The 16,442-nt window shown below is 41.9% G+C and overlaps 1 protein-coding gene and 1 long non-coding RNA gene across 5 annotated transcripts in view; one reads left to right on the top strand and one right to left on the bottom strand.

The window, feature by feature from the left end:
* Window positions 1-16,035, bottom strand: part of CHODL (chondrolectin) — a 350,031-nt gene extending 333,996 nt beyond the window's left edge. For all 4 annotated transcript variants that reach the window (NM_001204176.2, NM_001204178.2, NM_001204175.2 and 1 more), the window contains exon 1: window positions 15,975-16,035. The gene's annotated coding sequence lies outside the window, so the exon portion shown is untranslated. The remainder of the gene's footprint in view (window positions 1-15,974) is intronic.
* LOC124905000 (uncharacterized) lies at window positions 2,167-4,286 on the top strand. The gene is made up of 2 exons (XR_007067824.1): window positions 2,167-2,592; window positions 3,904-4,286. It is a non-coding gene; the product is annotated as an uncharacterized LOC124905000 (long non-coding RNA).

Below are 16,442 nucleotides of genomic sequence, written 5' to 3'. Positions count from 1 at the left end.
TGCCTAGGAAAGCCAGGTATTGTCCAAGGTTTCTCCCCATATGATAGTCTGAAATATGGCCTTGTGGGAAGGGAAAGACCTGACCGTCCCCCAGCCCGACACCCATAAATGGTCTGTGCTGAGGAGGATTAGTATAAGAGGAAGGAACACCTCTTTGCAGTTGAAACAAGAGGAAGGCATCTGTCTCCTGCCCGTCCCTGGGCAATGGAATGTCTCAGTGTAAAACCCGATTGTATGTTCCATCTACTGAGATAGGGGAAAACCACCTTAGGGCTGGAGGTGGGACAGGCGGGCAGCAATACTGCTCTTTAAGGCATTGAGATGTTTATGTGTATGCATATCTAAAGCACAGCACTTAATTCTTTACCTTGTCTATGATGCAGAGACCTTCCCTCACGTGTTTATCTGCTGACCTTCTCTCCACTATTATCCTATGACCCTGCCACATCCCCCTCTCCGAGAAACACCCAAGAATGATCAATAAATACTAAGGGAACTCAAGAGGCCAGCGGGATCCTCCGTATGCTGAACGCTGGTCCCCTGGGCCCCCTTATTTCTTTCTCCATACTTTGTCTCTGTGTCTTTTTCTTTTCCAAGTCTCTCATTCCACCTAATGAGAAACACCCACAGGTGTGGAGGGGCAACGCACCCCTTCAGTATTTGATTTTCCATTGCAGTTTTTCACTTAGAATAATGGCCTCCAAATCCATCCATGCTGCTGCAAAGACATGATTTTATTCTTTCTTATGAGTGAGTGGCATTTCACGGGAGTATATATACCACGTTTTCTTTATCCAATCATTCATTGATGGACACTTAGGCTGATTTCACGACTTTGCTATTGTGAATAGTGTCACAATAAACATACAAGTGCAGGTGTCTTTTTGATAAAATGATTTATTTTCCTTTGGGTAGATACTCAACAGTGGGATTGCTGGGTCAAATGGTAGATCCTACTTTCAGTTCTTTGAGAAATACCCATCCTGTCTTCCACAGAGGTTGTACTAATTTACATTCCCACAAACAGTGTATAAGTGTTCCCTTTTCTCTTCATCCTCACAAACATCTGCTGTTTTTCAGTTTTTTAATAATGGCCATTCTGACTGATGTGAGATGGTATCTCACTATGGTTTTAGTTTGCACTTTTCTGATGATCAGTAATGTTGAGCCTTTTTTTCATATCTTTGTTGGTCACTTGTATTCTTTTGAGCAGTGTCTATTTGTATCCCTTACCCACTTTTTAATATGGTTGTTTGTCATTGTTGTTGTTGTAGAGTTGCTTGAGTTCCTTGTAGATTCTGGATATTAGTTGTTTGTCAGATGCATAGTCTGCAAATATTTTCTCCCACTCTGTAGGCTGTCTGCTTACTCCACTGATTACTTCTTTTGCTGGCAGATGCTTTTTAGTTTAATTAAGTCCCATTTGTCTATTTTTGTTCTTGTTGCATTTACTTTTGAGTTCTTAGTCATAAATGTTTTGCCTAGGCCAATATTCTGAACAGTTTTCCCCATGTTTTCTTCGAGGATTTTCATAGTTTCATGTCTTATATTTAAGTCTTTAACTCACATTGAGTTAATTTTTGTATATGGTGAGAGATAGAGGCCCAGTTTCATTCATGCCTGTATTTTGTAATTCCTTCAGTGAATTTTTCATTTCCAGAAGTTCTGCCTGTCTTTTTTTAAGATATCTATTTCTTCTTTCATATGCTACATTGTTTTCCTGATTTTGTTTCATTGGTTTTCAACTTTCTCTTGGACCTCATTGAGCTTCCTTATAATCCATATTTTTAATTATTTATCTGTAATTTCAGAATTTTCATTCTGGTTAGAATCCATTGCTAGCAAGCTAGTACGATCCTTTGGGGATGTCTCAACACTGCTTCTTCATGGTGCCAGAGTTCTTATACTGGTTTCTTCTCATCTGGAGAAGCTGTCACTTCTTGTTTTTTATTTACTTTCATTTAGATGGGATTATTTTCCCCATGACAGTGTGACTATAGTATAAGTTGAGTAGCGTCCTTTAGCTTTTATTCTTTAGCCTTGTGTACTTCTTGTTAGCATGTTTTGTATCGGGCTTTGCAGTTCAACCTCCAGACCAGTAGGTGGTGCTTATGGGAAAAAGCTGTCTGTCACAGAAGCAGATGGGTATTTGCTTGATCTCGGTTTATTGGGAGGAACAGAAACACCAAGCTCACCCATGAATACTTCAATGAGGAGCACAGGCACCAGCTCTGACGGGAGTGACTGAGGGAGCTCCTGGTGAAATGTGCCAAGGTTGCTGCAGTTGGAGAGGGGGCTCCACCAGCTCCACATCCTGGGCAGACAGGAACACAGTCTCTTTCTGTATCACACCCTTGTGCCAGGGCTGATGACTCTCAGTTCAGGCAGACACTGTCATCTAACGCCAGGCCACAATGTCACCGAAAGCCAGGGAAAACACCTGTCCCGTGATTCTTCACTGGAATGGCTTCAGCATGGAATCTCTTCCCTCAGCTCAATACAGACAACTTTGTGGCTCTCCTGTTCTCCAGTGTAGGAACACTGCTGCTTCATAGAGAGAGGGGGAATGGTTCTGCCTTACAGTACATGCAGGTGGGAGTCCTCTGTGGTGGTGTCAGGTGATTGGATTAGTTCAACCTCAGACCCCAGAGGGAATGAACAGGTGCCATCACTGGGCTAGGCAATCCCCTAATCCTCAGGTTCCTAAATGGCTCTCTGGACAATGTGCATGAGTCCTGGAGGGACTAAACCAGGACCGGACCAGCAAACATGTCTTCAAATTCCCACAGTTCAGGTATTGGCTGTGATAGGAAGGGGTGGGCTGGCCCCCAGGCTGCTGGCAGAATGCTTTGGAAAGGGCAGGCAGACCACTCAGGCAGCTGCGGAATATTCCATCAGCATGAGCAGTGGAGGCAGGCAGCTACAAGGTGCATGGCCCACTCATACCTCCCTCTGGCATAAACAGTGGTGGATCTGGTCATTGTGGCACATGCAGGTGCTGGTCTCCCTGTTCCCTCCCTACAACTGCTGCTAATAAGATGAAAGCAGGAGCCCCAGGGCAGAATGCAGGCCTCTGAGGGCTAGGCTTTCAAAAGGGTGCTAGGCAACAGCAAAATGCACAGGCAGGGGTAGCCCTGCTCAGTGAGAGCAGTGAAAGCTAACAGCTGTGGGGCCTTTGGCCCACTCACACCTTCCTCCCACAGAAACAGTGGTGGTATCCACCACTGAGGTGTGCAAAGGTGTCCTGTCTTCCCACTCCCTCCTTGGCCTGGCAGTGGTGGTGGCAGTTGCAGCAACAGCAGCAGGATCCCCAGGGCAGACTGCAGGCCTCTGGGGGCTGGGCTCTCAGAAGGGTGCCAGGCCACAGCCAAAATGCTCAGGCAGAAGCAAGGTGGCTGTACTGTGAGCCTAGGGAAGGCAGGTCCCCCTTAGCGGGAACAGTGAAAGCAAGGGTGCTCAATGTGCTTGCTCCTCTACCCTGCAGCAGCAGCAGCCGTGATACACATCTTTGGGGTGTGCAAAAGTACTTGGCCTCCCCACTCCCTCCCCACTCCCTCCTGGCACTGCAACAGCAGCTGGTACCAGGCTGCAGCGTTTCAGGAATGAAAAGCCTGTGGAATTCCATGTGGGCCGAAGCAGTGCCTCTGCGCAATCTCCGGGCAAGTTCCCTGTGTTAGACTGGAGGCCCCGGGGGGTTCAGGGAGCTCTCCCATCGCTAGGATTGTGAAAATCCACACTGGGAGTGGGGCCCCAGGGGTTGCTCACTCAGCCCTTCCCCATGTCAGGGAGCTACTCCTGGCTCCATACCAATCCCAGCTCAGCAGGCTGCATGGCTTCACCTTTCTTTGCTTTCCATAATTCCCATCACTTCTCTGATGAATTCCGTTGTGCTCTCTCTTTTAGATGATCTATTCAAAGTGTGAATATTTACTATTTTGATTCATCTCCATGGAAGAGGAACCCACTAGCTGCTTCTAGTCAGCCATCTTGAACCAGAAGCCCTTATTTTACTTTTATTTGTACTTTTTCTTTCAAAAAACTTTTTAAATATGTCATTAAAATGGTAAATTTGCAAGTTTAAGTGAAATCTAGTTTAGAATTGATGAATTGTTAGTGATGATATTCACATCATGAAAGTACTCAATAGCAACTAGCCAAAGACATTACTTTGAGGCATGAAAATATCCTGTGTCTGTTTCTGCAATATATGTTTATTTCAGGATAAAAAAAGAAATTGTTTCTATAATGGATTTTCACATGGAACAAGTAAAATGTTCTTGACTGAATATGTTGGCTGTCTTTTCTTCCAACAAACCATTAGTTTACCAGTGTTGACATTAGAAACAGCTCCTTACTAAAAAATAAAAATGTACCACCAATGGATCTCAGCTCTTAAGTGGATTTCTAGTGACTATGATACTTGCATGAAGTTCAGGGATTGGAATCTATCACTAATACTATCCTAGAATAAAAATTGAAATACAGATTTATTATTTCTAAGCCTAAATTATTAAAATGTTATTGTATACGTTTGAAAATATAATTCAGCTCAATAAGTACAGTATTCACAGTTAAGAAGTAAACTGGTCCCACCATCCTCTAATCACCCCAAACATTTCTCCCCTTCCAATTATTCTACAGACTTGGTTTCCACAGCAGGGGAAGTAAGGAGGTTAATTATCTGGAAACATGGCTATCCTTTCATTGTTCTCCTACTCAATAATGTTATAGAATTCATCTTTTTTTTTAGATTCAATTCTAAAAACCTAATCACTTTTCCAACTTTGGCCCCCACTGTTACCCAATTTGCAGTTATTTTCTAATCTGTTTTCTAAAACGTACCATGCTCAGCACTTCTTACATCTTTATACAGCTGTTATTCCTAGGACACCCCGCTTTGTCTCTGTATCCAAACTCTACCTGTACTTTAGGAGTCACCTCAAGGTCCTTTTTCTTTGGGTAGCCTTCCCCCAGCATCTCTACCTCTTATTGACTTTCCCTTTTCAGAACCCTTTTAATCCCGGGACATGGCACTTACTCATTTGCATTAATGATCTATACTGTACCTTCTTTAGTGATGTTTTCATGTGTGCTAGTCTTGGAACTCCAGGGAGACTATAAATTCATTGAAGACAAGAGTATAGTTTATTCTTTTTATACTGTGCAGTAAATGTCAAAACAAAACTAGCATAGGGATTTGCAAAGAATAAGTGCTTGATAAATATTAATTCTTACAAGATCTTTAAATATTTGAAAGATGAGAACAACCCTTAAATTCGAACTTTAAATTTGTTTATGATGGCCACCATGCCATTGAACCTGTTTTGAACCCTAGTGAACCTATTCAATATAATGGAACAAAGAATCATCAAATGCTTCCAGCTGAATATACCTGTACCCTTTCCAGTAACAATATAAATTTTTCTCCATCAAAGTTAGTTAACCTCACAAAAAGGAAGAGGATTTTTATTCTGTGTGTTGCGTAGGTGGAAGAGCAGCTACATCTTTCATTTATCATTTGAGGTCTTTATTCATTTAACAACTATTTATTGGAAGCCTACTATATATAAAAGATAAACCTACTATGGACCAAATGCTCCAACTCTATGGTCCATCAGAATATTCTATCAGCATGAGCAGTGGAGGCAGGCAGCTATAAGGTGAATGGCCCACTCGTACCTCCCTCTGGCAGAAACAGTGGTGGATTTGGTCATTGTGGCACATGTAGGTGCTGGTCTCCCTGTTCCCACCCTACAGCTGCTGCTATTAAAATGAAAGCAGGAGCCCCAGGGCAGGATGCAGGCCTCTGAGGATCCATTATAGTCCATTCCTTTATGCCTTGAAAATCTTCCAGCCTTCTCCTGTCCTCTATTAAATGCAAATATACCACAGAAAAGAAATGTTTTGAACCACTATTAGGCAACAACTGTCAGGACCATATGACCACCTTCTAAATATAAGAACAGCACGTAGCAAGCCAGGAACAGAGAGGATATCAAAGACAATGTTATAAGCGCTAAAGACAAACCTCATCTATAATCTGCCTAGGAAATGCCCAAATTCCATTCTATACGTGTGGGCAGGGGTATATTCAACTCCCTCTCATTTCCCTATTTTTCTGGAGCCAATATTCAAGTTTTCTTCAACTCTGGGATATATATATATACACACACACATACATACATATACATATATATACATATATACATATATACATATATATACATATATACATATATACATATATATACATATATACATATATACATACACACAGATATACATACATACACACAGATATACATATACATACATATACACATATATGCATACATATACATATATGCATACACATATGTGTGTATGTCTGTGTGTGTGTGCGTGTGTGTGTGTGTGTCTGTGTATTTAAAAGGTCTTTCTACCTAGGATAGATTATAGAAAGGCAATTTCCAAAATGGCCCAGATTGCCCACTAATGCACTCTTTATCCTAAACTTCCCAGTGACTTATGTTCCAGAGTATTCTTTTTATAATATTTGCCTTTAGAAAGTCTTAATCCTGATTCCCAACTGTATTCAAGTACGATCACTTTAGTAACTTGGTGATATGGTTTGGCTGTGTCCCCACCCAAAATCTCATCTTGAATTGTAATCCCTATAATCCACGTGTCAAGGGCGGGACCAGGTGGAGGTAAATGAATCGTGGGGGCGGTTTCTGTCATGTTGTTCTCGTGACAGTGAGTGAGTATCACAAGATCTGATAGTTTTATCACCATCTGGCATTTCCCCTGCTTGCATCTCTCCATGCTGAGGCCCTGTGAAGAAGGTGTTTGCTTCTCCTTTGCCTTCTGCCATGATTATAAGTTTCCTGAGGCCTCCCCAGCAATGAGGAACTGTGAGTTAATTAAACTTCTTTCCTTTATAAACTATCCAATCTCAGGTATTTCTTCATAGAAGTATGAGAATGGACTAATACACTTCAGGAAAAAAAAAAAAAAAACCCACCTTATTTATTTGTTACCCTCAGTAGCTTACTTAATCATTTGTCCTTGTGTAAACAATGTGTGTTGAGACCCTAGGCAAGTATAATTCTGTTGTCTAACCTAAAACAAAGAATTAAATTTTTTTTTCATTTCATAAAGGAAAAGCTAAACTTTTGTAAAATGGCAATACAAATATCAACACATGTTATGTTTAATTAGTTGGACTAATATGAAAGCTGTCTGTGTATCAGCTTTTTAAGATTTTCATCCTGATCTTTGAGAACTGAGCAGTGCGGTTTTGCTGCCCTCTTGAGGAAAGACAAGAATCATTACACCTACTAATTTAGAGTTTTTATGTTCTCATTATGCTTATTGGAACTAATTAAATTACTATTAATTAAACCACAAATTAAAATAAGTTTTGAAATACTAATTGTCTATTAAACATCTCAAATTATATCCTCATGAGTAAACAAAGAAAAAGAATAAACATCTCAAAGAAACTTATAATCACTACATTACTAAACTTTGAAAATAACCAATAAAAGATATTGGGTCCACTATTTGACCTTTCTGGACAACCAACATGGAATAGTCATTTACTCAAAGGAACTCAGAAAGTGTGTGGCTCACTTATAGTCCTGGATTGCCTGTATAAAATGTAATGAATAAAATAACAAAAATAGGAATCATCCAAATCTATTATAAATAAATTTATCCTTTTACTCGCAGGCGAATTTAAAATTTGTGGATGTTAACATACTAAGTTCCTATAATTTAAATCTCCCAATTCATGACAATGAAAAAGCAAACTCCATAAGGAGTAGCTCCTTGTTTATTTATTCAACAAGCATTTATTCAAAGCCTTCTATGTACTCTTTATGAATAATGCCAAAGGTCAGTTGAGAAATCAATGAGTTATTTAATTCTTTCCTATTTGCCCTCTGACACTTCAAATGTGTGGCCAAATTTACACTCAGCATGAAAGTCAGCTATCAGGAAACTGGCCCAGGTGCATACATCTTCACCCATTCTCCACCTGAGCAATCAAACCATTAATATGTATTAAGAGCTCTCTGCCTGCACAGTTCTAAAATTTTAAACCTGTGAAAACTGAGAGTCAACTTTCATGTTATGGACTGGTCACAATTTTGGATATGCACACTGTAGCATGGTACTAGAGTGACCACTAGAGGTCGCATCAGGTGGAATTTACAGAGGCTGCTCATACGCAGATTGGATTCTCCTCAGGGGTGTGTCCTTTCCTTTCTTCCACCCCACACGGCCACTAGTGCCCCCTCCCTTGAGCTTGGCTGCCCAGATTGCTCACTAATGCACTCTTTAACCTAAACTTCCAGTGACTTATGTTCCAGACTATTCTTTTTATAATATTTGCCTTTAGAATGTCTTAATCCTGATTCCCAACTGTATTAACTAATTCAGACCACAGGCTTAATGAGTGATCATTGATTGGTGTCTTTGTCTTCTTATGTAGCATTTTTTTAACAGAGCCAGATAAGGACAAGCTCTGTGGTAATATAACAGAATGATTAGCAGTGCACCTATTTGGTTTTACAAGGTGGATATGATGACAATGTACAAAAAAGAAAAACTTATTTCTGTAGACTTATTAATTTCTACCCTGAATGCAATATCAAGCATGTATTATTGATTTTTATGTTATGTTCAGCTAAAAAGTCCTTCAGTCTAGAGATTTCAGATAATAAAAAGTCCAGGTCAGAACAGTCCCGACTAATTGTATAATGACAATCTCATTTCAAGTTAAAACTTCTCTTCTCTCCCAGCTTCAGACTTGGAAGCCTGCAATGGGCAAATAGGATGAAGCTGGCTTCCTTTCTCTTCCTTGTTCACCTCCTCTCCTGCTAGGTCAGGCCCAGGGAAGAGGAGTTGGCAGGAAAGTGCACAGCTGCTCCATGGTGACACAGTTGTGATCTCACATCATTTCTCTCCGGTCTCCAAGGCTGATTCTCCAATAAAGGGTTTTTGGAGACAGCCCTCGGACACCTTTGCACTAGAGTGCACCAACTGCCTCTCCTCCCACAGGCTACTTACTGCTCCCTCCTGCTGGCCCTTGGGCTTCTGGCTGCCCATTTCTCTCCTCAAGTCCCTTCACCATCAGCTATACTCCAGCGGAGGATGCTGACCAGCTCTCTTTTCTGCATTCACACAGCTTTCACAGGAAATGCTACTTTTATTCTCCCCCTTGTGTACATGCCTTTGCTCCCTGTTTAGCACTTTGTATGGTGCTACCGGGCAGAGGCACCTCCAGCCACAGCCTCTCACCTTTAGCTTCCTCAGGCATGAGCCAAATATCAGACACTCTATCCCTCAAACTCCAAGAGACCCTCACGTTCCTCAACATCCTTCTCTTCCAAAGAAAGGGAGAGGGGAAGAACAGCATGTCAACAACACTCTCCAAAGAATTCCTGACTCTCAGCTTCTTTGACTTCAACCTGTTTCAAAACTCAAGTAAGTGATTGTTTAAAGCTATCTTTGTGTTGCCATCTTTCTAGTTCCACATGAGTAGTTTGGCACCTTTTCTAAATTATAGGGCTACTTAAGAACAAGTATTTTGTTCCTGGCCTTTGGGACTTGTATAAAACTGAAGAACTGGCCAGGCACAGTGGCTCAGGCCTGTAATCCCAGTACTTTGGGAGGCTGAGGTGGGCGAATCACGAGGTCAGGAGTTTGAGACCAGCCTGACCAACATGGTGAAACCCCGTCTCTACTAAAAATACAAAAAATTAGCTGGACATAGTGGCGGGCACCTGTAGTCCCAGCTACTCCAGAGGCTGAGGCAGGAGAATTGCTTGAACCCAGGAGGCGGAGGTTGCAGTGAGCCGAGATTGTGACCCCACACTCCAGCCTGGGCAACAATGCGAGACTTCGTCTCAAAAAAAAAAAAAAAAACTGAAGAATTAGGGAAAATGTTATATAAAATGTCCTCTGAGATCTTGTGGGAAAGTTGTTAACATCTTTTTACTTTTTTTAATTTATTTTACAAATCTGTAAAATTGAGCCCATGCTTACACCTACCTCATAGGGCAGTTGTCAGCATTTATGGTGATAATGCAGACTTTGGCAGGAAAAAAAAAAAGAGGCAGAAAAAGACAAAGTCTGCTGTAAATAATGGAAAAGCTTGTGAAAGGAAAATAAATCTTGAGGCCCCCAAATCACTAAGCTAAAGGGAAAAGTCAAGCTGGGACTACTTAGGGCAAACCTGCCTCCCATTCTATTCAAAGCCAACCCCCACCCCTGCTCACTGAGATAAATGCATATCTCATTGCCTTCTTTGGAGGGGCTAATCAGAAACTCAAAAGAATGTAACCATTTGTTTCTTATCTACCTATGAGCTGGAAGTCCCCTCCCTGCTTGAAGTTGTCCCACCTTTGCTTCCAATTGTCCCACTTTTCCAGAAGGAACCAATGTTCATCTTTCATATGTTGACTGATGTCTCCCGTCTCCCTAAAATGAATAAAAGCAAGCTGTGCTCTGACCACCTTGGGCACGTGTCTTCAGGACTCCTGAGGCTGTCACGGCTGCATGTCCTCAAACTTGGCAAAATAAACTCTCTAAATTAACTGAGACCTGTCTCAGATATTCAGAGTTCGCAACCTTTAGGAGCTACATCTCAGTGCATTCAGTAAAAGAATAAACTTAAAGCTAAGACCTCATAAGGAATGTCACCCCACATTCCTGAAATCTAATGTAAAACATTGCTGTTGTTATTGTGTTTAATTTCCACATAAATAGCAGTAATACTATCACACTACATGGGCAATTAAATAACCCTTTATTTAATTAAAGTACTTCATAGATAAGTGTGCTAACAACCTTATCAGAGCTACCACTGATGAGTTCCAAACCAGATTTATCAACCCATCTTGAGTGTCTCCTCTGATTCTTCAGCCTCATCTATTTTGTGGGCCATTGGCTGCTTTCTCTGTAGTAATTGCAGCCACAGCAAGTCATACTAGGCTGTCCAGACATCCAGAATCTCTGGGCCTCGCTCCACCTCTAAAGCAGTGGAACAATGTTGTAAATTTTCTCTGGAATGACCTTTAGCCAACAGGAGACAGGAGACATGAGTGAGCTCACAGATAAATTTCCCCCACAATTTTCCATCTGTTGGGTTGTTCTGAGGTACAGTGTTTTTTTTTTTTTAGAGCCATAAGCAGTGGCCCACTTGGTATATCACCTTGAATTTGCTTCTTAGACTTCTCTGTCTCACTTCTTCTTTTCTTCACTCTAACTGTACTGCCATGTACCTCCTAATTAAGCATTATCACTTCAACTTTCCCTAAGATTCTTTTGGTTAAGTTGAACATGAACTTAACTGTAAATAAGAAACCAGAAATAGCATCATATTTCATAACTTTCCTTTATTGTGGAATAAATCTGGACAATCTGTCAATTTATTCTTTTTCTTGGAAAAAATAGAAATTTGGAGTGTTCACTGAGATAATTTGGTAAAGCACTAAATGCTTATTACTACTCACAGTATGATTAATTTAAACATCTGCTGTCCACATGCTGCATCAACCTAGTCCAGCTCAGCATTATCTCTTGCCTGGACTTGTACCAAAAATTCCTAGCTGGCCTTCCTGACTGTAGCCTTAACCTGTGTCAACACATTGCCCTCCCTGCTGCCAGAATGATTCATCAGTCAGGATATACTAACTGCTGTAATAAACAACCCCTAAGTCCCAAAGCTTAACACAACATCTGCCTATTTCTCACACGTCTCAATTCAATGAGAGACAAAGGTGGATAAATGTCTATTCCACCTAATCTTTTAAGGACTTGCTTCCTTCTTCCTAGTGGCTCCTTCATCCCCCTAGAGTTTACATCCTATTCTAGATACTGTACCTCTCACCTGCCAAGTAGCAAAGGAAGAAAGCATGGAAGATTGTACACAAGAGGGTTAGACCCCCTGCCTATAAGGGGCACACATCACTTCTGCCCAACACACCCTTGGTGGTTAATTTTATGTGTTAACTTAGATGATGTTTCTGAATGGCATTAACATTTAAAACAGTGAACTTTGCATAAAGAAGATTGCCCTCCATAATATAGATGAGGCTCATCCGATCAGTTGAAGGCCTGAATAGAACAAAAAGACCAGCCTCCTCAAGCAAGAGGGAATTCTTCAGCAAACTACCTTCACATTTCATTGGCATCATAGACTCTCCTGAGCCTCTGCCTGCCAGTTCACACTGCAGATTTTGGACTTCCCAGCCTCTATAATCACAGGAAACAATTTCTTATAATAAATCTGTTTCTGTCTATCTATCTATCCATCCATCCTATTGGTCCTGTTTCTCTTGTGAGTCCAGACTAATACAAACCCTTGGCCAAAAGTTAGGTATATGGCCCCTAACTGCAAGGGAGCTTGGAAATGTACCTTGTAGAAGAACAGGCAAGACATGAACAGTGGCAGCAAAACTTTCTAAAATAGGCAAGTGATCATATAACTTCCCTGTATTAAATCCATCTTTTTATTGTCCTTGGAACAATATGAAAACTTATTCTCAAGCTGTCAGTTCTTCAGATCCTTATCTTTGTCTTCAGTGGGGCCTCTGACTACCTCACTAGCAGTATACAGTCAGATGTATTTACTCCGATAGATCTCACTCTCTACTGACTGCAGCTAATCCTCATACAATGTTAATAATAATAGCTACCATTTATTGAGCATGTGCTATCTGCCAAGCACCGTCTCAAAAATGTAAATGTATTTTCTTGTTTAATCCTTACAACAACTTGTGAGTTTAGTATATGATATGGTTGTTCTGTGTCCCCACCCAAATCCCATCTTGAATTGTAACTCCCATAATTCTCATATGTCATGGGAGGAACCCAGTGGGAGGTGATTAAATTATGGGGGCAGATCTTTTCTGGGCTGTTCTTGTGATAGTGAATGAGTCTCACAAGATTTGATGGTTTTAAAAATGAGAGTTTCCCTGCACAAGCTCTCTCTTTGCCTGCTGCCATCCATGTAAGACATGACTTGCTCCTCCTTGCCTTCTGCCATAATTGTGAGGCCTCCCCAGCTATGTGAAACTGTAAGTCCATTAAACTTCTTTCTTTTGTAAATTGCCCAGTCTTGGGTATGTCTTTATCAGAAGCATGAAAACTGAATAATACAGTAAATTGGTACCAGTAAAGTGGGGTGCTGCTGAAAAGATACCCGAAAATGTGGAAGCAACTTTGGAACTGGGTAACAGACAGAGGTTGGAACAGTCTGGAGGGTTCAGAAGAAAACAGAAAAATGTGGGAAAGTTTGGAACTCCCTAGAGACTTGTTGAATGGCTTTGAATAAAATGCTGATAATGATATGGACAATGAAATCCAGGCTAAGGTGATCTCAGATGGAGATGAGGAACTTGCTGGAAACTGGAGCAAAGGTGACTCTTGTTATGTTTTAGCAAAGAGGCTGGCAGCATTTTGTCCCTGCCCTAGAGATTTGCAGGACTCTGAACTTGAGAAAGATGATTTAGGGTATCTGGCAAAAGAAATTTATAAGCAGCAAAGCATTCAAGAGGTGACTTGGGTGCTGTTAAAATCATTCAGTTTTATAAGGGAAACAGCATAAAAGTTTGAAAAATTTGCAGCCTAACAATGCTATAGAAAAGAAAATCCCATTTTCTGAGGAGAAATTCAAGCTGGCTGCATAAATTTGCATAAGTAACAAGGAGCCAAATGTTAATCCCCGAGACAGTGGGAAAAATGTCTCCAGGGCATGTCAGAGACCTTTGTGGTTTGTGGCAGCCCCTCTTATCATAGGCTTGGAGATTTAGGAGGAAAAAATGGTTTCGTGGGCCAGACCTAGGGTCCCTCTGCTGTGTACAGTTTAGGGACTTGGTGCCCTGTGTCCCAGCTGCTCCAGCCATGACTAAAAGTAACAGCTTGGGCTGTTGCTTCAGAGGGTGGAATCCCAAACCTTGGTAGCTTCCACGTGGTATTGAGTCTGCAGGTGCACAGAGGTCAAGAATTGAAGTTTGAGAACCTCTGCCTAGATGTCAGAGGATGTATGGAAATGCCTGGATGCCCGGGCAGAAGTTTGCTGCAGGGGCAGAGTGCTCATGGAGAACCTCTGCTAGGGCAGTACAGAAGGGAAATGTGGGGTCAGAGCTCCAACACAGAGTCCCTATGGGGGCACCACCTAGTGCAGCTGTGAGAAGAGGGCCATCATCCTCCAGACCCCAGAATGGTAGATCCACTGACAGCTTGCACTGCGCACCTGTAAAAGCCGCAGACACTCAACACCAGCCCATGAAGGCAGCCAGGAGCGGGACTTTACCCTGCAAAGCCACAGGGGCAGAGCTGCCCAAGGGGATGGGAGCCCACCTCTCACATCAGCATGACCTGGGTGTGAGGCATGGAGTTAAAGGAGATCATTTTGGGGCCTTAAGATTTGACTGCCCTGCTGGATTTCTGATTTGCACGGGGCCTGTAGCCCCTTCGTTTTGGTCAATTTCACCCATTTGGAATGGCTGCATTTACCCAATTCCTGTACCGCCATTGTATCTAGGAAGTAACTAACCTGCTTTTGATTTTACAGGCTCGTAGGCAGAAGTGACTTGCCTTACCGCAGATAAGACTTAGGACTGTAGACTTCTGAGTTAATGCTGAAATGAGTTAAGCCTTTGGGGGACTGTTGGGAAGGCATGATTGGTTTTAAAATGTGAGGACATGAGATTTGGGAGGGGCTGGGGTAGAATGATATGCTTTGTCTGTGTCCCCACCCATATCTCATCTTAAATTGCAACTCCCACAATTCCCATGTGTCCTAGGAGGAACCCGGGGGGAAGTGATTAAATTATGGGGGCAGTTCTGAATCTCAAGACATTTGATGTTTTTAAAAATGGGAGTTTCCCTACACAAGCTCTTTCTTTGCCTGCTGCCATCCATGTAAGACATGACTTGCTCCTTCTTGCCTTCCACCATGATTGTGAGCCCCTCAACCCCCCGCCATGTGAAACTGTAAGTCCATTAAATCTCTTTCTTTTGTAAATTGGCCAGTCTCACACATGTCTTTATCAGCAGTGTGAAAACGGACTAATACAGTATAATAACTACTTTACAGATGGAAAATTGTGGCACAGAAAAGTTAGGTAATTCACCCAAGGTCAGAGAGCAAGTAAACAGTAAAAAATAAAATATATGAAATAAAATATTTCAACCCCTCATCAAACTTGAAAACCCCCCTCACCCCCAGTTTCTCTTTGCCATACCCCACCAGTATCAGCCTCTTCATCTGCCTAACACCTTCCTTATCCTCAGGATATCTATTTAAACCTGTCTTGTTTCAGGAGCCATTTATGACTCCACAGACTTCACAAGGTTTACCTACTAAAACTTTCATGAGATCTTTTATTTCCCATATAGTAGCACATTTATTATAACTACTTGTCTAATTGTTCATCACCTCCTTTAGAGTTTAGCTTCAAGAACGGCAGAACTACACACACACACACATACACACACACACACGCATATCAGAGAGAGACAACAGAAGACTTCATTTTTACACTGTTAACAAAAAGATAAAACATGCAGTGTGCTAAATATCATTCATTTACCTCCTGTAGATCTACTCTTTACTCTTCTCTGTGTCCCAGCAGATAGACATTTGTGAACCACATCAATGGTCACCTTTCTTCTCTGGCTTCTGTTGGGTTTGGCCAATAGAAGGCACTGCCAGGTAATCAGATGGCAAGAGAAGAGTGAGGTCAGGGTGTGTCCTTCCCTGGGTTGTCTGCATCCCTCTACAGATGGCCCCACCTTGGGTAGGGCATGAATCTCTTCCAAGTGTCCCCTCCAGAGTCTGGTACACTCCTTCCACCTTCTTGTTACTCTCTGTGGTCGCTAGCCCCAGGTTATTTTACTGCTGTGTTCTTCAGGGTTTTTCAGAGAAACAGAACAAATAGTATAAGGATATAGATATAAATACGTGAGAGGGGACTTACCAGGGAATTGGCTCACTCAATTATGGAGGCTGAGAAGTCCCACGATCTGCCATCTTCAAGCTGGAGAACCAGGAAAGCCAGTGAAGTAGCTCAGTCTGAGTCCAAAGGCCTGAGAGCCTGGGCAGGATTCCTGGTGCAAGTCTCAGAGTCCCAAGACCAGAGAACCTGGGGTCCTGATGTCCTATGGCAGGAAAAGAAAGTTGTTTCAGCTCCAGAAGAGAGAGAGTGAATCTGATTTTCTTCTGCCTTTTTGTTCTATCTGGGCCCTCAGCTGATTGGATGGTGCTCGCTCACATTCAGTGAGAGTGGATCTTCCTTACGTAGTCTGCTGGCTCAAATGTCAATCTTTTCCAAAATCGCCCTCATAGACCCAGAAATAATGCTTTACCGGCTCTCTGGATATTACTTAATGCAGTCAAGTGTACACCTAAAATTAGCCTTTACACTGTCCCTTGTTGAGTCTCCTTA

This window comes from Homo sapiens, chromosome 21 (genome assembly GCF_000001405.40).
Source record: "Homo sapiens chromosome 21, GRCh38.p14 Primary Assembly".
In the NCBI taxonomy this organism is placed as follows: domain Eukaryota; kingdom Metazoa; phylum Chordata; class Mammalia; order Primates; family Hominidae; genus Homo; species Homo sapiens.
Note: the sequence above shows the minus strand (reverse complement) of the source record. Positions and strands in the feature narration are given on the sequence as shown.